General features: G+C 43.4%; 1 protein-coding gene across 1 annotated transcript in view, besides 1 other annotated feature; it reads right to left on the bottom strand.

Moving 5' to 3' along the window:
- The window catches only part of APOLD1 (apolipoprotein L domain containing 1), a 65,550-nt gene extending 41,045 nt beyond the window's left edge, over positions 1 to 24,505 (bottom strand). Inside the window, exon 1 of the mRNA NM_001130415.2 lies at positions 24,326 to 24,505. Within this exon, the coding sequence (NP_001123887.1) occupies positions 24,326 to 24,421 (96 nt within the window). The 5' untranslated portion in view covers positions 24,422 to 24,505. The remainder of the gene's footprint in view (positions 1 to 24,325) is intronic.
- Positions 24,275 to 24,544: an enhancer, noted in NCBI's record as "active region_6030". NCBI's record gives its function as "activates an Ori minimal core promoter by ATAC-STARR-seq in GM12878 lymphoblastoid cells {active_cell/tissue: GM12878}" and the evidence as "EXISTENCE:reporter gene assay evidence [ECO:0000049][PMID:35858748]".

Genomic DNA, 24,836 nt, shown 5'->3' with positions numbered 1-24,836 from the left:
GTCCAAAATGTATCTTCCCCAATTTCCTTTTTTTTTTTTTTTTTTTTTTGAGACAGAGTCTCACTCTTGTTGACCAGGCTGAAATGCAATGGCCCGATCTTGGTTCACTGCAACCTCCGTCTCCCGGGTTCAAGCGATTCTCCTGCCTCAGCCTCCCAGGTAGCTGGGATTACTGCCATGTGCCACCACACCCAGTTAATTTTGTATTTTTAGTAGAGACAGGGTTTCTCCATGTTGGTCAGGCCGGTCTCGAACTCCCAACCTCAGGTGATCCGCCCGCCTCGGCCTCGCAAAATGCTGGGATTACAGGCGTGAGCCACCGCGCCCGGCCATCTTTCCCAATTTCTTATTATGCTTTGTCTCTACCGGAAGGGATTTCAGTGTGGGGGTACAGTCAGGGATCTTTTGACAAGTACAGCTTAAGCTGTATTTCATTGGAATGGGGGCATTTCCTTCAGGGCCTCCAAGTCAAAAAATAATGATAATATTGTTACTAGTAGAGGGTCTTGACTGCAAGTTGTCCAAGTTCTTGGCGTTTTGAACAAATAATTGGACAAAATGCCCAGCAAAACAAAGAAAGAATGAAGCAACTAAAGAATGAAAGCAGGGATTTATTGAAAACGAAAGTACACTCCACAGTGTGGGAGCGGCCTGAGCAGCGGCTCAAAAACCCGGGTTACAGAATTCTGTTGGGTCCAAATACCCCCTACAGGTTTCCCATGGGCCACTTGGTGGTCACCTCATGTAAATAAAGTGGTGGTCCGCAGTTGCTCTGATTGGTGGCGGAAAGCCACCAATTAGAGGCTGAAGTTACCAACGTCACACTCCTGTGCAAACAACTAATTGGCTGCAAAAAGCAACCAATCAGAGGTTAAGGTGAAGTTACAAAGTTGCACTTCTATGGAAACTAAGACTCTGCCTGCAATCAGTCTGATTGGTTGCTGACAGCCAATTGCCCATCTGCTGGGCAGAAAAGGTGGGGGTTTGCAAAGGGAGTAGCCTCTGGTCCTTTTGTTACTTAGGCGTGGAATGTTAGGGTTTTTCTTTAAATTTAGTTCTAGAAAGTTAGCGTGAAATGACCTTAGGTTCCCTGTTTCCAGACCCTATTCTCCTGCCTCAATATCAGCCTAGTCTGGGATGTACTTTTTTCTAAAGAATCTATAGATTTAACAGAACATGTAAAATGATCATAGCACTGGCTCTATCCCAGCCATCTTCATAAAATAAGCCAATTCCTAGCAGGTAGCTCAAGCAGAATCGCATACCCAGAATCAGTGCTTTGGGTGCCCAAAGACTGTTGCAGAGACTGCAGCCTCACCAAAATGCCACTTGATCAATGCCAAGAGTACAGACCCCATGGCCTGTGAATTTAAACCCAGTTAGTAGAAATCTCCTGGTCACAGGTTAATTTCAGCACTGTGCACCTCACACTTACCACATCTGGGAAGATCCCCCTCTGAGTACTTTCTCCTGTCTCAGAGTATTTGAGAGGATGCTGCCTTCTTGTAAAGTTTAGAAATATGAAATGGCAATATCTTCAGTCATCACATCTTATTTGAGAGGAGCTGTTCTTTCTTACCCAGATATTCAAAGCCTTTATATTTCCACGTCCCCTTTGATCTTTAGGTGCCTGCACTGCAGTGCTGCAATGGAAGTGAACTTCTGCCTAGTAAGAGGGCTCCCACAATACCAAGTAAACATTTTTTTCCTGTGCCACAGTGGCTTTTCCCATTATCTTTTTCTGTGGAATTCCTTAGGCCTAAAAAAAAAAACCCATAATTATATATTTCAAAATAGCTAGAAGAAAGATTTGGAATGTTCCCAAAAAAATGATAAGTGTTTGAGGTGGTGCTGATCATCACACATTGTATGCATGTATCAAAATATCACATGCATCCCAGAAATATCCACAAGCATTATGTATCGGTTTTAAAAATTCACAAAAAAATATTGTTTGATACTTTATCATGCTAAGAAAGAAAGAGAAAATCTAAGCAACCAGTTTCTAGCAACCTTGAGAACAAGTAGAGGGACTGATTCTTGAGCCACATGAAGTCAAACTTAGCCCCTCCACCTTGCCCTCTCTTGCCCTTAAGGATAGTGCAAAACAACATAAAAGAGGAATTAAAACTTGGACTGTTTGTTTACATTACCTCGTGCTAACACATTGGAAGCCAATCTCTCACTAATGCTCCGTGGTCCATAGAGAACCCAGCTGCTCCATGGTTTAAAAACAGCAGATATTTTTTTCACTCTCTTAATATCTAAAAGGATAGTATATGAAAAGATTGTTTCTTTCCTCCTATAATTGAATCCTTGCATCAGCTGTGACTGCTTATTAACGCTCTTCAGCCTGCCAGTCCCCACTTAGGCCCTCTGACAGCCCCATGCCCTTGTCAAGGCCCTGCTACAGCCTCTGAATGACTTTTCCAAAGTTTTCCCCAGGCCATGGCTTTTAAGCACTAATGCACCACCACAAAAACCTACCTAGCCCAATATAAGCCTATACAAACTGCCAAGATTAACATGTCCGGCACACATACCAAGAACAAGACCCAGCGCCAAGGCCAATCCCTCACCACTCCAGAAGCCTCAATCACTCCATGTGTGTTCACTTGCTTCTCCCTAATTGTGCTCCTTCCTTTTTTCTTACATTTCAATTTTTTAGCCAATGAACCAAATGTTGCAAGAAGGGCCCAATAAAAAGCACCCCTCCTCCTTTTTAAATTTTACAGCCAACTAAGAAATAAGATAAAGGAATGGAGGGAGAGGATCAAATTATTAGTTTATTCCTGATAGGACTGGGTTGCAGGATGCAGTTTAAATCTGAGAGTCAGAAGAGCTTCCCAATACCAAGCTGCGGAATGAGATCTAGCAGTTCTGGTCCAAAGTAGACTTGCCTCCCTGGCGACCAGAGTGTCAGCCTGCCCCTACAGCAGGCCTCATGCTGGCTGGATTCCAAAGGGGAAAGTGGACAGGATAAGCTGAGCATGCTCACTTTATTTTCCCCAAATTTGCCAATTAAATCACAGCTCAGGAGCAGAGTTAGGAAAAGGCAGAGAAAAGCCAGGTGTTACACTAAAGCAACTCCCTTCACCTGGAATGACAGGTTTTGTTTTTTGTTTTTTTAACTAGTAAGAGACGTGGGCTAGACACGGTAGTTCACACAGTAATCCCAGTGCTTTAGGAGGCCGATGTGGGAGGATTGCTTGAGTCCAAGAATTCGAAGCTACAGTGAGCTATAATGGCACCACTGCACTCCAGCCTGGGTGACAAAGCGAGACTGTCTCTAGAAAAAAATATATATGTATTATTACATGGGTAATTAAATAACTTAAAAAGTAAGGCGGAAGTCGCTACCTGGTTCCATGATTATAATCTAGAAGTCTGAAGATTTATCTGGCATTATCAATTAACATTAGAGAATATGCAGCCATAAAAAAGAATGAAATCATGTCATTTGCAGCAACATTGGTGTAGCTGGGGACCATTAACCTAAGCAAATTAACGCAGGAACAGAAAACCAAATGCCACATATTCTCACTTATAAGCGAGTGCTAAACATTGGGTACACACAGACATAAAAATAAGAATAGACACTGGGCACTCCAGAAGGAGGGAAGGGGGAAGAAGAAGAGAGAAGGGCTGAAAAGCTACCTATCAGGTACTACGTTCACTACTTGGGCAATAGGATCATCCAGAAACCCAAGCCTCAGCATCATGCAATATACCCATGTACAACCTGTGCATGTACCTCCCTGAATATGAAATTTAAAAAAAATTAGAGCATGTTTTCCCATGTTTTCCAATAGTTTTTTAAAATTCTTTATGAAGACATCAGAGTTCATACACGTAGTCATGCACATGTTCACCATTTGGAGCAATATGTATGTATGTATTTATGTATTTATTTATTTATTTATTTGAGATGGAGTTTCACTCTTGTTGCCCAGGCTGGAGTGCAGTGGTGCGATCTCGGCTCACTGCAACCTCCGTCTCCCAGGTTCAAGCGATTCTCCTGCCTCAGCCTCCTGAGTAGCTGGGATTACAGGCATCTGCCACCACACGCAGCTAATGTTTGTATTTTATGTAGAGACAGGGTTTCACCATGTTGGCCAGGTTGGTCTCGAACTCCTGACCTCAGGTGACCCACCCGCCTCGGCTTCCCGAAGTGCTGGGATTACAGGCGTGAGCCACTGCACCCGGCCTGGAACAGGATTTAAGTAAAACCTTTTCTCAACTACAGAGACATACGTTTTAAGCCTTCTTGGATTCCCACCACCCTTCCTTTTGTTCTCTCTTGGTCACTCCTCACTTCCAGACTCGGATGAAATAGCCACACTGCAAGGCGTAAAATTAATTTCCTGAGTGATCACGGAGCTGCCAGATGACACCACATGGCATTCAGGGGATTTAGCTCTGCTAAGTAGTGTGAACCTCAGCCACAAAAAATGGAGACAGGAGGGAGCTGGCAGATAAATGCCCTCTTCCTGATCCCTTTCTCAGACTACTCTGGAGTGCAGCTTCTTCTTGCAACCTTTCTAGAGAATTCCAAGTACAGAGCAAGCATGCGGGCTGAAAGATCTGCTGTAGGCAAGACCACTTGGCATTTTCCTTGCCTTTTGCTTCCCTTTTTCCTCCCCCTTCCCACCTGAAACTATTTGTGCTATTCTGAGTCATCCTGCCCTTGCCTTGAGGCCAATCTCAGCACTTAATACACCTAATCTACCACAAATTCAACGTGTACTGGATGCTTAGAGAGGCAAAGAGAATGTTACACTACACGCAATATAGGAAGCTTTCCATTAAAATATTCTTTGGGTTTCTTTCTTTGCTCAAAAATTGTACAGCTCACTTATGTCTCCTTCCTCTTCTCTTCAGTCTTTTCTTTTCTGAGACAGTCTCGCTCTATTGCATAGGCTGGAGCGCAGTGGCACGATATTGGCCCACCGCAACTTCCACCTCCCTGATTCAACCGATTCTCCAGCCTCAGCCTCCAGAGTAGCTAGGATTACAAGCACCTGCCACCAGGCCCAGCTAGTTTTTGTATTTTTAGTAGAGTTTAGTGGCCAGGCTGGTCACGAACTCCTGACCTCAGGTGATCCACCCGCCTCAACTTCCCAAAGTACTGGGATTACAGGCGTGTGCCACCTCGCCCGGCCTTCTTCAGTCTTCTCCTTGTAAAATTCTCTTTCAAATATCTCCTCATTTTGTGTTGGGTAGAGCAATTTGGTCTTCTCTCTGCCTTTTAATTCTCCTCACAGCCAATCACCCTGCTTAATTCAACAAAGGCCCTCTAGGGAGATGAGTACACAAAGCATTCACTTTTTTTAGACAGGAAGGGAGGTATTGCCAGTACATTATTTTAATACATTTTTCCCTCTAACACACAGGCATAAAACAATAAATTCAAAGCAGGCCAGAAGTAGAGAGAAGAAAAAGCTTTGTCAGGGTGAAGCAAGTATGGGATCCAGGTAGGCACAAGTTCATAGTGATATTTGGTGAAGGGAAAGCAGATCGTGGCACAGGGATCTTGTTCTGTGATCTGCCCCATGAAGTCGGGCAGACAGACACTCTACATAAAACAGGTTCAGAATGAGGCCAAATCACCTGGCAAGAGGAGGCCAGGAGCCAGACAGACACTGAGCACAGGCAACAGGAAAGCAGCTTAATAGGCAATAAACCAAGTTCTAAGGCAGAGCACCCCGGAAATTTATAGTCAGGATCAGAACTGATCCCAGCGGCAGTGTCCAATTCCCATCTCTTAAGTGGACAAATAAATCACCTGCCTAGAGTTGAGAGCTGAGAAATCAGAAACCAAGCAGTTCTTTGTTTTTTGATATGGAGTGCAGTGGTGCGATCTCTGTTCACTGCAACCTCCGCCTCCCAGGTTCAAGCGATTCTCCTGCCTCAGCCTCCTGAGTAGCTGGGATTACAGGTGTGCACCACCAGGCCCAGTTAATTTTTGTAATTTTAGTAGAGATGGGGTTTCACCATGTTAGCCAGGCTGGTCTCGAACTCCTGACCTCAGGTGATCTGCCCACCTCAGCCGCCCACAGTGCTGGGATTACAGACCTGAGCCACCACAGCCAGCCATTTTTTTTTTTTTTTTTTAAGCAGGGTCTGGCTCTATTGCCCAGGCTGGAGTACAGTGGTGCCATCATAGCTCACTGCAGCCTTGATCTCCTAGGCTCAAGTGATCCTCCTGCCTCAGCCTCCCGAGTAGCTGGGACTACAGGTGCACACCGTTCCTTGCTAATTTTTTATTAGTAGAAACGCAGTCTTGCTATGTTCCCCAGGCTGGTCTCAAACTCCTGACCTCAAGTGATCCACCAGCCTCAGCCTCCCAAAGTGTTGGGATTACAGGCATGAGCCACCACGCCCAGCCATCATCAATTTAATATCTTGCAGTACTGTGTGCTAGAAGTCTAACATGGGTCTCACTGGGCTAAAAGCAAGGTGCCAGCAAGGCTGCATTTGTTTCTGGAGGCTCTGGGGGAGAATCCTTTACCTTGCCTCTTCCAGCTTCTGGAGGCTGCTGCATTCCTGGGCTCCTAGCCCCTTTCCTCCATCCTCGAAGCCAGCAACAGCAAGCTAAGCCCTCACGTCACACCACTCTGAATCCCTCTTCTGCTTTCCTCTTCCAAGATTCAGGACCCTTGTGATTACATTGGGTCCACCTGGATAATCCAAGATACTCTCCCAATTTTATAGTCAGCAAATCAGCAAACAATTCCATTTGCAACCTTAATCCCCCCTTTGCCATATAACATACCATATTAATAGGCTCTGGGGATTAGGATGTGTATCTCTTTGGAGGGGGGCATTCTTGTGCCTCCCACAGAGTGAGAAGTGCTGTGGAGAAAACAAAGCAGGGACAAGGGAAAGGGAGCAACCACTCTTCCATAGTCACCTATTCCTCTGACCACAGATGGAAAGGCCCTCTGCTTTTGCTTTTAAGGATTTATTTTGTTAGATTGGGCTCACCTGGATAATCCAAACCGCTCTCCTCATCTCAAGGTGCTTAACATTAATCACACCTGTTTTTTTTTTTAAAGATGGGGTCTCACTATGTTGCCCACGCTGGCATCAGTGATTGACTGGGCTCAAGAGATTCTCCATCTCAGCCTCGTTAGTAGCTAGGAATACAAGTGTGTGACACCATACTGGGCTCCAAAGGAGTTCTTTGATTGCACAAATAAAATGACCTTTTAATGAGATCCCTCACTCAATACATTAGCAAACAACACTTGGCTCTTATCTACCTACACCTACCTCCAAAGTAAGCTGGGTCTCCCCTTTCAGGCAAATGATATAGGAAGTGGGAAACCAGCTCAACCAAGATTAACGAAGATAAAGCTTTTGACCATGGCGGGGCGCGGTGGCTCACGCCTGTAATCCCAACACTTTGGGAGGCCAAGGCGGGAGGATCACTTGAGCCCAAGAGTTTGAGACCAGGGCAGCATGCCAAAACCTTATCTCTACAAAAAATTAGCCAGGGTGGTGTCACATGCCTGTAGTTCCAGCTACTCAGAAGGCTGACGTGAGAGGATCATTTGAGCCCTGGATGTCAAGGCTGCAGTAAGCCGAGATCATGCCACTGCACTCCAGCCTGGGTGACAGAGTGAGACCCTGACCAGGGCCTTTTTTTTTTTTTTTAGATGGAGTCTTGCTCTGTCGCCCAGGCTGGAGTGCAGTGGCGCGATCTCAGCTCACTGGAACCTCCGCCTCCCAGGTTCAAGCAATTCTCTGCCTCAGCCTCCTGAGTAGCTGGGATCACAGGCACCTGCCACCACACCCAGCTAATTTTTGAATTTTTAGTAGAGATAGGGTTTCACCATCTTGGCCAGGCTGGTCTTGAACTCCTGACCTTGTGATCCACCCACCTCGGCCTCCCAAAGTGCTGGGATTACAGGCGTGAGCCACCGTGCCCGGCCGACCAGGGCCCTCTTATCTACCTTGGAAGAAGGTGGCCTTTGAGAAATGCCTGAATCGATATGGAGGTGAGCATCAAAGGAGGCTTAGAGGCAAAGCTCATTTTAAAACTTTTCCCTTGGGCCTTCCGTGCTTTTCTTACCATGGACATCTTTTGTCCTTTGCAAGGGGGCTTCTCGACCCTAAAATGTCCTTTGACAGTTGCAACCTGCCATAAAAAGTGGCTCCTAGTCCTAATAAAGTAATATCCATTGTTCCTTTTTTTTTGCCAAAGCAACCTCGTAATTTTGTTCTTTCCATCTTGCCTCAGGAGAGACTAAGGTGCAGAGAAGTAGAAAGATGTTCTTAGAGCCATTCCGGACATAGCTGGGGCTCTGTTCTTGTTTTTAATGAAACAATTATTAGAGATATTGTGGTATTATTTTTCAATAAATGGCAAGACATTGCTGGCCAGAAATATTTAATTACCATATGGTCTTTTAATCGGGCAGAAAGTGAAAGAGAATAATTTAGGATCGAGTGTCACACTGAGCCTGCTGGCCTTCTTCCTGTTGAGATTATTTATAAGAATGACAGGACAGCCCCAAGGCCTGAATTTGAGCCCAGACTCAGCTGCCTTGTGTGATGTTGAGCTACAGCTCCAAGGCTCAGTTTCCTTATCATTACAGCTACTTCTCAGAATTTATTTAATCTCAGGATTAAAGGAAACAATGTAGATGAGTGGCTTAGCACACACTGAGTGCTCCACAAATGTTAGCTATTGTTATTATATAACTGTACAGAGAGAACATCTCTCTGCGTATCAGACTGTGTGTCTTGTTTTGTTTTGTTTTTCTTGTGTGCAGACTGTAGCAAAATGCAACCCAGGAACTTCAGGGAGCTATAACTCAAAACCTAAAATTGGGAATCATTTTTTATACTTTTTCACACTATAAACTGTAGACAATCCACGTTGCAATAAAAACTGGGTTGGGGCCGGGCACAATGGCTCATGCCTGTAATTCAGCACTTTGGGAGGCTGAGGCAGGAGTACTGCTTGAGGTCAGGAGTTCAAGACCAGCCTAGACAACATAACAATACCTTGTCTCTACAAAAAAAGAAAAATGTTCTAAATTAGCTGGGTGTGGTGGCACATGCCTGTAGCCTCAGCTACTCAGGAGGCTGAAATGGGAGGATCACTTGAGCCCAGGAGTTTGAGACTGTAGTGACCTATGATGGTGCCACTGCCCTCCAGCCAGGGCGACAGAGCAAGACCCTATCTCTAAAATGTTTCAAGTTCGTAAAAAAAGTATGACAGTTTGCAACAGATAGTCCAGGTTACAACCTGATGTTCAGTCTCTTGCATTCTAGGGTACTTTTTCCAAATGGGGAGGGAAAGGTAGGGAGATACAATTTTTTTTTTCTTGGTAAGAGGTACAAAAAAGTTACAAAAGGTACAAGGACTTTGAGAGACATAATTAATGGGTTTGTTTTTTTCCCAGGTAACCTCTGCTAAATTCCTGTTTCATCATGGCTATTTAAATACATGGTTATTGAGTAATTGGCATTCTGATTTCCAGGTAATACTGAATAGCCTCCTGCCTCAGCCTCCCAAAGTGCTGGGATTACAGGCGTGAGCCACCGTGCCCAGCCGCAACTCAATTTTAATAGTAATATATGGATTGTCTCCAGTCTGTAGTGGGAAAATTATAAAAAAAGATTCCAAATATTACGTTTTGAGGCAAAACCTAGTAAGAATTTTCAGGTAATACTGGGCACATTCCTTTCCATGTGTAGAGGGAAGGCTGAAAGTCACTGCCTGGAGGGACCTTGAAATTTGTCATTGCATTAAGGCTTATAATTATCTGTCCAACCAGGTTTGAAAGGAACTTTAGAATTGCCAACCCATTTTTAGGGAAACAGAGAGATTGGGATATTAGGTTCACCTAGTTCAGAAGACAGTCAACTACTGGGGTTCAGATTTCCTAAAGGTTAGGACAATGCAGAAAAGGAAGGTAAAAATGTTGAATGGGGCAGCTGGGACCTCAGGGCTGAAGCAAAGTAGGGTGTCCATAGAAAATAAGATCTGAGGGCCGGGTACAGTGGCTCATGCCTGTAATCCCAGCACCTTGGGAGGCCAAGGCCAGCAGATCACCTGAGGTCAGGAGTTCAAGACCAGCCTGGCCAATATGGTGAAACCCCGTCTCTGCTAAAAATACAAAAATTAGGCTGGGTGTGGTGGCTCACACCTGTAATCCCAGCACTTTGGGAGGCTGAGGCAGGCGGATCACGAGGTCAGGAGATCAAGACCATCCTGGCTAACACGGTGAAACCCCATCTCTACTAAACATACAAAAAATTAGCCAGGCGTAGTGGCACGCACCTGTAGTCCCAACTACTCAGGAGGCTGATGCAGGAGAATCGCTTGAACCTGGGAGGCAGAGGTTGCAGTGACCTGAGATCACACCACTGTACTCTGGCCTGGGCAACAGAGTGAGTCTCCATCCCAAAAAAAAAAAAAAAATTAGCCGGATGTGGCAGTGCACACCTGTAGTCCCAGCTACACAGGAGGCTGAGGCTGGAGAACTGCTTGAACCTGGGAGGCAGAGGTTACAGTAAGCCAAGATAGCACCACTGCACTCCAGCCTAGGTGACAGAGTGAGACTCTGTCTCAAAAAAAAAAAAAAAAAAGTAGGATCTGGTAGGATCTGAGAAATATACTCCTTAATGAAAGATGAAACATAAAGTACCCAAGCTTATAATATTCAGTTATGGCTATAGGATCATATTTTTAAGACCCATGTAATTAAAGGTATAAAATTACCTGCCCAACCTAAAATGAAAAGTTCACTAGGAAAAAAATAGCCATTACTCAATGTGATTATATGAACATTAAAGTTAATAAAAAAGGTTTTTCTCCTTTTAGAAATTTTAGCATATGAAATTATCTTTACTCTGCAAGTCACTCTGAGATATATTTTTTAAATATTGTTTACAGTTGCTATCCAGTAAAGGATACATTTCAAATGTATCTTGATTAGACAATCACCTGTAACAAACATTCCTTTCCTTGAAAATGCTTGCAGGAGTTCAGAAAACATAGTAACTTCACTTCACTGTAACACTGATACTCTTTCCCGTTCCAGCTTTTGCCTGCTTCTTTTTAAAGCACAAAGAACACTCATCTTCTCGATCTCCCTGGCTTTCAGGCCACTTGACGATAGCAGAATACAAATTCCTCAATAACCACATATTTAAATAACCACGGTAAAAATAGGAGTTTAGCAGAGGTGTCCTGGGAAAAAGAAACAAAATTCAGTGACCTGTGCAAGATGTGTATTCTCCGCATTCAGTCTCCCCTACTATCTGTCCCCACCTACCAAGCCAACTTTATCTCTTAGGATTCTCCAGAACACCCCCCTCCCCAAATCTGTCCCTTGCAGAGCCACCAGTTTTACAGTCAGTTCCTTGCTCAAAAATCCTCAAGGACTTCTGTATCTGTTAAGATTTGCATTTGGCAGCTAGTAACAGAGCCCAGAAATCATAGTGGCTTAAACAAGATAAAAGTGTACTTTTCTTTTCTGTACAGGAATTCTGGAGATAAGTGGCACAGAGTTGGTGTGGCATCGCCTATAGTTCCTGTATCTTTCTACTCCACAATGCACCTTCTATCCTCAGGAACAAAGGATGCCTCCTCAAATTGCAGCCATCTTACACACCTCATAGGCAGCCAAAAGGGGACAGACAGGCAGATGTCAAACTTCTTTTCAAATGCTGTCAGAACCTAGCACAGTCCAGCATACTTCATAAGCACTCATTAAATTTCAGATACAAGAATCAATTAATTCTATGGCACTACTGAAGTAGGGAAATTTATCATTCACAAAACTTTAAATATCAACAGTATACCCAGTGCACCATATTAGAAACTATAAAGCATCATTTGAAATTCTTAAAAGGACACCGTTTTAAGATAGTAGATATGTAAATATCTATGTAATTAACCAGGCACAGTGGTTCATGCTTCTCATCCCAATGATTTGGGAGGCTAAGTTGGGAGGACTGCTTGAGCAAAGGAGTTCAAGACCAGCCAGGGCAACATAGTGAGACCCCATCTCTAAAAAATTTAAAATTAGCCAGGTGTGGTGGCATACACCTGCAGTCCCAGCTACTCAGGAGGCTGAGGCAGGAGGACTGCCTGAGCCCAAGAGGTCGAGGCTGCAGTGAGCCATGATCATGCCACTGCACTGCAGCCTGGGCAATAGAGCAAGACTCCATGTGTCTTAAAAAAAAAAAAAAAAAAAAGGACTTGCTTGCTCTGGTGAGTATGGGGAGAGCCTCTCCTCATGTGTAGGAGTGGCAGCATATTCCAGAGTAAAAACATAATAATAAAATAGTGAACACATGCATAGCTACTACTTTATGCAGGCCTTGTTGTAAGTTCTTTACATATATTCAATGTTTTTCTCATAGAAAGACATTCTTAAGACTGTGAAGAGAGAAGAAAAGCAGGAAACAGAATTAAGGTATTTAAGGTACTTAGTCCAGGGCCTGGCACATAGTAGGCACTCATTATTGTTGTTGCCAACAAAAGGTCTCAAGAGAACATTCAGTCCCCTTCCTCCCCCTAGATAACGACCCTCCATATTCTGAAGCATTCACTGAATCTTGCTCCACTATCGTGCAGCCACATTCCCACGGTTGAACAAATCCCACGGAAGACATCAGTAGGAACTACAGCTCTACTCAGGTAGTTAACACCAACCCTGGGCCCCCCAGCTTGGATCCTCAGCTGAGGATATGCCAAAGATAAGCGCCCAGCTCCCTCCTTCTCACTTTCTATCAGTACTCTCTCTTGAGTGTAGATTTGTTTTATTTTGTTTTACTGGAGAAGGGGAGGAGGAGAGGTGGAGGCAAAAAAGGGGAAAGGAAACAGAGAAGGTAAGATGCAGGAATTATTTCAGGTCTCAGTTTGGCAGGGGCTCATATGTAAAGCTATTATGTTCGAGAAATATAAAAGACTAATACTTTTCCTAAAGATTGAAACAGAAACAGTGGTGATTGGACTGGGAATTATACCTCACTTCAATGAACTCCAAAAGAACTTGAGTTGATTGCTGAAGAAGTGAACAAATAGTGATCAATTTGCTGACAACTGTAAAAGCGTATGGGGTGGGTCACAGCCATTATAGCTTCCTGTGGAGTCAGTGGCCAACTCTAGGTTGTTACCCCACTGTAGCCAGCAGAGGTCTCTCTTTTATTAATCTTCAATTTAAAAAAAAAACCTCTGGGTTGTTTATTTCTATTATCCTTTTGAAGTCTCTTTCTAAAGCCAAATAAATAATGAATCATTTGGCCAAAACATCTTCGAATACTGAATCTAGTCACTTAGTAAAAATGAAAGACAAAAATGCTGAGCTACTTGAAGCAAAAGATTCAGTATTCACCTCTAAGCTATTCATTTGCTTAGAAGATTCACGCCAATCGCACAGCCAAAGAGCAAAACATGGGCCAGACTCTAAAACAGCAATGAGCAACTGGCTGAGTATGACAAAGAAAAGGGAGCTCCAGCTAAGACTGGTAGCGGGGTGGAGCAGGAGGCTGGCGAGGTCCACTTCTTCGGATCTCTGGTTCAGTAGCTGACACCAAGCAGGGCTCTTCCTTGAATGCACTCCTTCAAAAGCCTCAGATATACCACTTGTGACCACATCCCCTCTAACGGCCCAAGCACTACACATTACACCCTCCTTACTTAATGAAATCAAGAGTTTTGGTTTTTGAAAACTCGATTGTTTATGTTAAGCAGCATCATGGAGAACTATCAAGGCGAAAGCTTGAACTTTCTTTCCCACGTCCTATTGGGATAACCCCAACATAAGACTAAGGATTTCAATTAATATTAGATAAAGTGAGGAAACAATAAAATTTATTTGAAGCTGCTCAAGTCACTCTCTTATTTTATTTTATTTATTTATTCTTTTGAGACAGGGTCTCAGTCTGTCACCCAGGCTGGAGTGCAGTGGCGTGATCATGGCTCACTATAGCCTTGACCTCCCAGGCTCAGGTGATTCTCCCACCTCAGCCTCCCAAGTAGCTGGGACTACAGGTGCACACCACCATGCCCAGCTAGTTTTTTTGTTTTGTTTTGTTTTTTTTGAGACAGACTCTCACTCTTATTGCCCAGGCTGGAGTGCAGTGGCGTGATCTTGGCTCACCGCAACCTCCTCCTCCTGGGTTCAAGCAGTTCTCCTGCCTCAGCCTCTCGAGTAGCTGGGATTACAGGCACACACCACCACGCTCACCTAATTTTTTGTATTTTTAGTAGAGACGGGGTTTCACCAGGCTGGCCAGGCCAGTCTTGAACTCCTGAGTGATCCACCCGCCTCAGCCTCCCAAAATGCTGGGATTACAGGCATGAACCACTGCTCCCAGCCTAGTTGTTTGTATTTTTAGTAGAGATGGGGTTTTGCCATGGTACCCAGGCTGGGTTCAAGTGATCCACCTGCCTCAGCTTCTCAAAGTGCTGACATTACAGGTGTGAGCTTATTTTATTTTAGTTTAGAGACAAGATCTCACTCTGTCACCCAGGCCTGAGTGGCAGTGGTGGATTATAGCTCACTAAAACTGTGAATTCCTGGGCCCAAGCGATCCTCCTGCTTCAGCTTCCCAAGTAGGTATGACTACAGGTGCTCACCACCATGCCTGGCTTATTTATTTATTTATTTATTTATTGTAGAAATGAGGCCTCACATTGTCCAGGCAGGTCTTCGATGCCTAACCTCGAATGATCCTCTTCGGCCTCCCAAGCAATCCACTTTGGCCTCCCAAAGCACTGAGATTGCAGGCATCAGCCACTGTGCCTGCCAAGTCACCTTTAAATTATCCAGTGGCTTCCCATTGCACTTAAAGTCCAAAATTCCTAATGTGGCTTAAAAAGCCCATCACTCCAGCCACAGCACTCATTCCTTCTGCCATTGGCTCACTGCCCCCCAGCCACAAGCACATTCTTTCAAAGCTCTTCTCTGACTTGCAGCCTTGGACTGTGTTCTGCTTGGCTCACTCTCCTTCCTTTCCTCCTTTCAACTGGTTAACTCATGCTCAGCTTCCAGGTCTCAACTTGAAAGTCATTTCTTTAGGAGGGATTCTCTAACCCTCGCTCTAGGTCAGGGCCCCTGTTTCAAACTCTTACAGCATCCTACAGGCAGCCACTGGAACATAGGGGAAGGCACTGCAGGTGAGGGGGATGGAATGGCATTTTTTATTTTGTTTGTTTGTTTGTTTTAGAGATGGGGTCTTGTTCTGTTGCTCAGGTGGACTGGAACTCCTGGGCTCAAGGGATCCTTCCACCTCAAACTCCCGAGTAGCTGGGACTATAAGTGGCTGCTCAGCTAAAGGGAGTGTTGGTGGATTTTTAAAGGCCCTTTTCTTTTCAGTAAACACAGGCTGGCTTGGGGAAAGAGTTTCGATTTTAGCCCCTGCTTGCTTCCTCAGTTAGTCACCTTGTCTGGGATCCAAACTGCTACAGCATGAAGCAGAAGCTCTGAGGTCCCTTCATGGCACTCATCCTTCACAACACTCACCTAAATTCCATGGAATAATTACAGCTGTGACGCCTTGTGGAGCTCCAGGAGGCCAGCGCTCCTGTTTGTGACCTTGAAGCCCACAGAGCCTGGCCTTAGTAAAGGCTCCCAGAGACTGCACGCGACAATGCAGCAATATCTGGCACTACTAAGCAACCATTAGGTTACACATTCACGTGCTTTTTTTCTAGTGAGATTATAAACGTTTATTGTTCAGCCTACGCTATTATAAGATCATCTTCTTTTGATTCTGAATATGTGGTTTGTGGCCAAAAATCAGGACTCTAGCTTCCCTGAAAAATAACCTGATCCACAGGGATGGAATGTGTGATCTTGACTAGGAAACAAGAATCACAGAGCTGTAAGCCAGAAGGAATCTATAAATCATCTTCGTTTAACTTCCCCACTTTACAGGAAATCAAGAATTAGAATATTCTCATCTGCAAAATGGAAAGAATCGATACAGTGGTCTCCCATAGCCAATATTCTGAGATTCTAAGATTTGCCCCAGGTCAGTCACATGGAGAGGGACAGCCAAAGATTAGTCGGCTAACTTGAAATGTAAAACTATTTTCCCAGCACTATGTCCTAAGTAACTAATCTAAGGCAGGGAGTTGATCTGGTGAATTCCCAGGCGGATTCCCTGAGTGTGCCAAGTGCCAAAGATCAAGGAATGTGAGTTTTGGGATCATGTTACCAGTAAAATCCCATATGGCAAAAAGATGGAATAACCTCAATTTTCCATGGTTTGTTAAGATATCCTTGAGTTAATGGGGATAATATTTATACCTCATTTATGTGCCCCAGAAGCCAAACCATGTACACAAACATGCATACACTCCTCATAACTCATGTACAGATTTAATGGCATCTGAAGTTAGATAGAAAAATGGAGGAAAAATTATTAAAGAAATGCCTTGTGCTCTGCTAATGTCCGAAAAGAATGAGACCGTATGTGAGACATAAAAACTCTGATTCCATGTTCAAGAAATTGTAAAAATAATTATTTCAAATTTGAAATACCGGCTGGGCGCGGTGGCTCACGCCTGTAATCCCAACACTTTGGGGGACAGAGGAGGGCAGATCACCTGAGGTCAGGAGTTTGAGATCAACCTGGCCAACATGGAGAAACCCTGTCTCTACTAAAAATACAAAAAATTAGCTGGGTGTGGTGGCACTCATCTGTAATCCCAGCTACTCAGGAGGCTGAGGCAGGAGAATTGCTTGAACCCAGGAGGCGAAGGTTGCAGTGAGCCGAGATCGTGCCACTGCACTCTAGCCTCGGCAACAGAGCGAAACTCTGTCTCAAAAAAAAAGAAAAAAAATTGAAATACCTTCATGGTTTTTTCCTTGTTAAAATCTACTGTTAAAAATGCAAACAGTACATAAATGTTTAAGGGAAAGTCTCTTCATAATCCTGCCCTCAGAAATAGGAACTACAGATGTTAATGTGGTGGGTAACCTTCAATTGTATGCCTATATACATGTGAATTTTTAAATTTTTCACAAAAATACATTCATACCATAGATACTGTTCTGTGCCTGCTTTTGGTCTTAATGTGCTATGGAAACTTTAACATTAAGCCATATAACTTTTTTTTTTTTGAGACAGTCTTGTTCTGCCACCCAGGCTGGAGTGCAGTGGCGTGATCACAGCTCACTGCAGTCTAGACCTCCTTTCTTAGGTGATCCTCCTACCTCAACCTTCTGAGTAGCTGTGACTACAGGCCTGTGCCACCATATCCAGCTAATTTTTTTTTTTTTTTTGGTGTTTTTTGTAGAGATGGAGTTTCACCACGTTGCCCAGGCTGGTCTCAAACTCCTGGGCTTTATCCATCTGCCTCTCTCGGTCTCCCAAAGTGCTGGGATTACAGGCATGAGCCACCCTGCCCAGCCAAGATATATAACTGTTAATACATATAAAGCTACCCAGGGTGTTTTAATGGCTATAATTTGTACCCTTCTTGCATATACTATGGTTAGTTCAATCAAATAATCAATTCTGTAACCCTACATCTAAAGGGTTTTTATTTGGTTGTTTACTCTTTTGTTCTTTTTAAAATCTAATATTTAACATTATAGTGATTACTTTGATAAATATATCTTTAGTCATACGTCTGATTATTTCTCAAAATTAAATTCGTAGAAAAGTACATGCTTTTTCTTTTTCTTTTTTCTTTTCTTTTTTTTTTTTTTTTGAGACAGAGTCTCACTCTGTTGCCTAGGCTGGAGTGGAGTGCAGTAGTGTAATCTCTGCTCACTTCAACCTCCGCCTCCCAGGTTTAAGCGATTCTCCTGCCTCAGCCTCCCAAGTAGATGGGATCACAGGCATGCACCACCACACCTGGCTAATTTTTGTACTTTTAGTAGAGACGGGGTTTCGCCATGTTGGCCAGGCTGGTCTCAAACTCCTGACCTCAAGTGATCCTCTCGCCTCAGCCTCCCAAAGTCCTGGGATTACAGGTGTAAAGTTTCCATAACACATTAAGACCAAACCATTTTAACTGTTTTTGCATATTTGAATCTCTTTATTAAATGCCAATTTAAAATATTTATTTTTCTTAACGGTAATAACAGCAGTAATTAACAATCACGGCGCCCAGCTGAAAAGTACATACATTTTAAATGCGCAGTATATAAAATGTGTGTGTATGTAAGGGAGATTTAATATTTTTCTCCAAACGGTTAGCTGTAACCTAACACCATTTATTGCATAGCATAGTTTCTCTCTACTAATTAGACAATTTATGTTTATCATGTAATCAACTCTTCATGAGGCTTTTAAAAGAGAATAGAGAGCTTGAACGAAAAGCCAGAATAAGGTGATGGTTTTGGAGAGACTGGTATCACCAGCAACGTACAGGCATTAAACTTAAAAGCAGGAATGGATGGGGATGTGTTGAGAGCATCAGCCTCTTACATACTTATAGTTGTGCTGGCCTTAAGAGGCTGATTCGGGGGATTTCTATGTACAAAGTAAGGAGATGCCACTAAGCTAAAGATAACATTATTTGGATGGGAGGGATTTTACACTGAACCTGAAAGACGGTCGTGGCTTCCACGCATGCAAACTCTTTGCTTCTTTGGTCACCAATGAAGCTGGAAAAATATCACTAACCCTTAGGTAGAAAGGAGGGAAGCAAGGATTAAACTGTCAAGAAAGAATAATGGCCGTCTTTGTATCTGAGTGCCTCAATTTCCCTATATTTATATATTCTGTATATGGTTTATATCCCAATAGTCTACAATTGAGCATGTTTTCATTTATTAAAAGCCTTTCATATTTTCTTTTCCGATAACTGTGTTCATATCCTTTGCTTATTTTTCTACTGGTTTGTGTTTTCTTCATGGATTTGTAGAAACTCTTTATTTATTGGGGAAATTAACCCTGTGATATGTGGGTTGCAAACATTTTTCCCAATTTGTCATTGCATATGTATGTGGGTGTATGTGCTACTGATTTATTACCACAAATAAATCTATACCAAGTCCTTTCAGAAATCATTGGAAGTGACACTAAATTCAACAAGTGCCTTAAAAAGATTTTATTGTGGTAAAAATACATAAAATTTACCATTTTAACTGTTTTTGCATATCTAATTCTCTTTATTAAATGCCAATTTAAAATATTTGTTTTTCTTAATGGTAGTATCAGCAGTAATTAAAAATAATAAGACATATTGACAAGGTTAACATAGTACTGGCTGTGGTTACTGGGAGAAGACAAAATAAAAACTGGATATCCCCATTAATTTGATTTTTTGTTTGTTTGTTTGTTTGTTTTTTTGAGATGGCGTCTTGCTCTGTCGCCCAGGCTGGAGTGCAGTGGTGCGATCTCGGCCCACTGCAAGCTCCGCCTCCCGGGTTCACGCCATTCTCCTGCCTCAGCCTCCCGAGTAGCTGGGACTACAGGCGCCCGCCACCACGCCCGGCTAATTTTTTTTATTTTTAGTAGAGACGGGGTTTCACCGTGTTAGCCAAGATGGTCTCGATCTCCTGACCTTGTGATCCGCCTGCCTCGGCCTCCCAAAGTGCTGGGATTACAGGCGTGAGCCACTGTGCCTGGCCAATTTGATTGTTTACAAATATGTAATGGTCATTATTATATACCATGTATTGGGCTAAATACAACACATACATTATTCCATCGAATACTTTTAATACCCTATGAGAGTTATAAGCATCCTCATTATATAGACAAAAAAAAAAAAAACTTTTTTCTTTCTTTCTTTTTTTTTTTTTTTTTTAGAGGAAGTCTCAATCTCGTCCCCCAGGCTGGAGCACAATGGCATGATCTCAGCTCACTGCAACCTCTGCCTCCCAGGTTCAAGCGATTCTCCTGCCTCAGCCTCTCCAGTAGCTGGGATTACAGGTGCCTGCCACCACGCCCGGCTAATTTTTGTATTTTTAGTAGAGATGGGGTTTCACCATGTTGTCCAGACTGGTCTCCAATTCCTGACCTCAAGTGATCTGCCCGCCCTGGCCTCCCAAAGTGCTGGCATTACAGGTGTGAGCCACCATGCCTGGCCGAAATAAAATCTTTAAAAGGTGAAGTAACTTGCAAATGGCAGTTCAGTAACTGGACTCAAACCCAGGCAGTAGGATTCCAGAGCCTGAAATTGAACCACTACAGCATCTCACAAATAATATGGCCCAGTACACTGTGTGAGATTCTTTTAGACATACCATGGATGAACTTTAAATTTTTCCAGTGAGCCAGGCATGATGGCTCATGCCTGTAATTTCAGCACTTTGGGAGGCTAAGGCAGGAAGATCACTTGAGACTAGGAGTTCAATACCAGCCTGGACAACATAGCAAGAACCTGTCTGTCTCTCTCTCTCTCTCTCTCACACACACACACACACACACACACACACACACACACACACACACACACACAAAGTTAGCTGGGCATGGTGGTGTGCACCTACAGCCCTAGCTACTTGGGAGGCTAAGGCAGGGGGATCACTTGAGCCCAGGAGGTCGAGGCTGCAATGAGTCATTGCACTCCAGCCTAGGTAACAGAGTGAGACCTGGTCTCAAAAAAAAATGTCCCAGTAGTTGTATATTCTTTTTTATTGTGGTTAAATACAAGTAAGATACAAATTACCATTTAAACCATTGCTTTTTAAATTATTTTTATATTATTATTATTATTATTTTATTTTTTTAGAGCTGCCAGGCTGGAGTGCAGTAGTAAAATCATAGCTCACTGTAGCCTGAGCTGCGGCCCTGAACTCCTGGGATAGAGCAATCCCCTTGCCTCAGCCTCCAGAATAGCTTAACTATTTATTTTTATTTTTTAGAAACAGGTCTTGCTACGTTGTCCAAGCTGGTCTTAAAATCCTGGCCGCAAGAGCTCCTCCCAGCTGAGCACAGTGGCTCACAACTGTAATCTCAACACTTTTGGAGACCAAGGCAGGAGTATCACTTGAGGCCAGGCGTTCAAGACCAGCCTAGGCAACGTAGAGAGATCCTGTCTCTACCAAAAAGAAAAAAAAATTACATCTTATGAATTCTATGTTTATTGTCGTACTCAGAAAGTCTTTCCCCAACTCTGAGATTTTTTTAAAAATCCTTTGAGGTTTCTCCTTGCATGTCTATGGTTTCATTTCTTTCTACTTCATCCTCTTTAATTCTTCAGGAATTTATCCTGATGTGTGAGATAAGAATCCCACTTTATTTTTTTTTTTAATGCCGACAGAATTATATTTAAAACTAGACAAATTCATTTTAAATCCACATGGGGAAAATGGCAAGCAAAAGAAAACAGGAACATTCTGGGGGAAAAAAAGGAGTAAAGGGACCCATCGAGATGTGGAGGACTCGGCCCACCAGCAATTCAAACATATTCCAAATTTACAGTAATTATATTATGGTCCTGAGTGGACAGACTGCTACAACAAAGGAACGAAACAGGATGATCAGAACCTATTATCAGAATTTAGTGTAAAGAGGTGCAGATGAATTAGGGAGGACTGCCATCTTTGTCATGTTGGGTGTTCCCATCCAAGAATATGGTATACTTTTTCATTGTGCAGGCTTCTGCTAGAGACCCAATCTTAGAATGAGCATACTGCTCTGTCTCCCCACTTTCTTCCTATCTCCTGAAGAGTCGCAGTGAGGCTCTGCCTGTGCAGGTTTTGTGTGGGGTCTAAATAGTTTTTTTTGGCAGAGTCACAACTAACATATTGGAGTTTCCAATCTTTCTCTTTCTTTCTTTTCTTTCTCTCTCTTTTTTTTTTTTTTTTTTTTTTTTTTGAGACAGGGTCTCACTGTTGCCCAGGCCAGCATGCAGTGGCATGATCTCGGCTCACTGCAACCTCAGCCTTCCAGGCTCAAGCAATCCTCCCACCTCAGCTTCCTGAGTAGCTGGGACTACAGGCAGCACCACCACACCTGGTTAAATTTTTTTTTGTTTTTTGTAGAAACGGGGTTTCACCATGTTGCCCAGGCTGGTCCAGAACTCCTGAGTTCAAGCGATCTGCCCGCCTCAGCCTCCCAAAGTGTGCGGATTACAGGTGTAAGCCAATGTGTCCGGCCTCCAGTCTTCCTATTGCCATAATGTGAAAAGCTGTGGTGACCAAGTCTGAGTTCATCAGACATATCTATACTATATTCCCATAGTCTGGGCTTGAACCCTACATTAAGTATTAAACAGGCTGGGCTCAGTGGCTCACACCTGTAATCCCACCACTTTGGGAGGCCAAGGTGTGAGGATTCCTTGAAGTCAGGCATTCAATACCAGCCTGGTCAACATAGCAAGACCCCATCTCTACAAAAGTAAAAAAAAAACTGCTGGATGTGGTGGCACACATCTGTAGTCCAGCTACATGGGAGGCTGAAGTAGAGGATCTCCTGAGCCCAGGAGCTTGAGGCTGCAGTGAGCCATGCTCATGCCCACTGCACTCCAGCCTGTGTGACAGAGTGAGACCTGTCTTTAAAAGAAAAATTAATTAATTAATTAATTAAAGATTAAACAGTAGGTGTTAGATGTTGGCAGAATTCTATTTAAAGGTTTCAGAGATGCTAGGTATGGTGGCTCATGCCTGTCATCTCAGCACTTTGGGAGGCCAAGGCAGGAGAATCATTTGAGGCCAGAAGTTCAAGACCAGCCTGGGCAACGCAGCAAGACTCTCTACAAAGTTAAAAAAAAAAAAAAAAAAGGTTTCAGAGCACACATGTAATTGCAGTGATTCTGGAGGCTGAGTTGGGAGGATTGCATGAGCCCAGGAGTTGGAGGTTGCAGTGAGACATGACCACACCACTGCACTCCAGCCTGGATGACAGGGAGACTCTATCTTTTAAAAAAAATAAGAAGAAGAATAAATAAATAAATAAATAATAAAGCTTTCAGAGGCTGAGTTTGGGTCTCACTTTAATTTGAGAAGTTAGGATGGCAGCTAGAAGTTACCACCTACTCCTCAGTATTAATAGTCACCACTTTTAAAGATGGGGCCTCAAGTTACCACAGGTGATAGTCTTGAACAGTAATGTCCAATAGAAATATAATTTGAGACACATCTGTAAATTGTCTAGTAACTCCACTAAAAAAGTAAAATGGAATAGATGAAATTCATTTTAATAATATATTTTATTTAGCCCAATATGACAAAATATTATTTCAATAGGTAATCAATATTAAAATTATTAATGAAATATTTAACATTTTCTCTTCATACTAATTCTTGGAAACGTGGTGTTTATCTCATATAGCACATCTCAATTTGGACTAGCCACATTCAAGCGCTCAAATAGCCACACAGCTCTACAAGATGCTAATGAGCAAGGAAAGTGGCTTAATTTAGTGGAAATCCAGAAATGCCAAGGTTGGAAATACAGTTTCACAGGGGTCTGGAATAGACTTTGAAATCACTAGTCCAAATACTATTTGATATTTGAATCTTGTCTACAACGTTCCTATCAAGGGGTCATCCAAGACTAGTGCTTGACTCACACTCCAGGGATGGTGAGCTCACTGCTTCCTGAGGCTAGCGTGTCTTCAACTCAAAAAAGTTCTCATTCCATTAAAACACATGTTTTCTTATAGTGTCCACCCTGGTTAGGTGGGTTCCTGGAGGTCAGGAGTGACTAGCGGACTTTTATGATATGGGATTAGAGATTAAGTGAACACAGCCTTGCTAAAGGCATAATCAGGTTGGTTTATGGTCTTTCATGGACCTTAATTAAGAGGTTTGTTAGGCTAAGAAGGATTGGGGGAGTTAAGAACTAAAAAATGTCACCACTGAGTTAGAAACTGTTAGAAGGCTAGTGCTGGATATCTGGTTAAACTCGTCCGATACACTGCAGCAAGACTAAAAGACAAAAAGAAAAAGGTGTGTATCTATGCAAATTTCGCTAATATGGAGATAGAATTTCACTAATACGGACATAGGGACTGAGAGAATCATTTGACTTATTATAAACTTTAAAACATAATTGGGTTCTAATTCATAAAGAATGTCATTTCCATTAGACCTGTATTACAAAAAAGAAAAAAAAAGTCATCCTAAATCTTAACGTACACACGCTTTATCAAAAGAATTTCCGTACCCAGAAATCAAAGGCACTTCAAAAGTCTCATTTCGTATCTTGAGTTTGTTTTAACATATTCCTCCCGCAAAAACGCTCTGGAAATCAAAGAAAACTTTTTTAAAATTTAATTCAATAAAAATGACACCGACTGGCTGAATTATGATGGGTTCTGAGTGGCGGTTGAAATAACACATTTTTCCTCTATTTCCTCTTTTTTTTTTTTTTTTTTTTTTTTGGTTGCGAAGAGGTGTTCTTTTCCGGGCCACCTCCACCCTCCCGCACTCCCCAGTTCTACCTTTCCAAGGCAGGGGAAGGTGCATCCTCGCCAGGCTCCTGCCCGCGCCTTCCGAGTACCCCTGGCCCGCAGCCGGTGACACGGCGCGCGGAACATCCGTGAACGAGTTGGGTTACATCTCTGTCCCCGCGAAGCTGCAGATCGCTGACCGCCCCGCGCACCCCCGCCTGCCTGCACACTGTCAACCGCACTTAGGGGAAATTTTTGGAACAGAAGCTCCGCCCATCCTGCTCCCACTGCCTCCACTAACCGACTCAAAACCCCCACCTCGGGCCGCCGAAGCAGGTTTCGTCACACGATCTGGGGGACTGTATTTTTTACAAGAAAACAAGCATCAAAAAAAAAAAAAAATTCAAACTGCACGCGCCGGCCAATGGGGAAGAAGTGGGAGGTGGGCGGAGGCCGCGCGCGGCGCGCGAGGCGGGGAGGGGCCCCGGGCGGGCGCGGGGGCTGGGGCCGCGGGAGATTCGGCAAACGCGGCGGGCGCCCGGTTCGGGGCTTTTTTTTTTTT

Source organism: Homo sapiens, chromosome 12 (genome assembly GCF_000001405.40).
Source record: "Homo sapiens chromosome 12, GRCh38.p14 Primary Assembly".
NCBI classification, from domain to species: Eukaryota; Metazoa; Chordata; class Mammalia; order Primates; family Hominidae; genus Homo; species Homo sapiens.
Note: the sequence above shows the minus strand (reverse complement) of the source record. Positions and strands in the feature narration are given on the sequence as shown.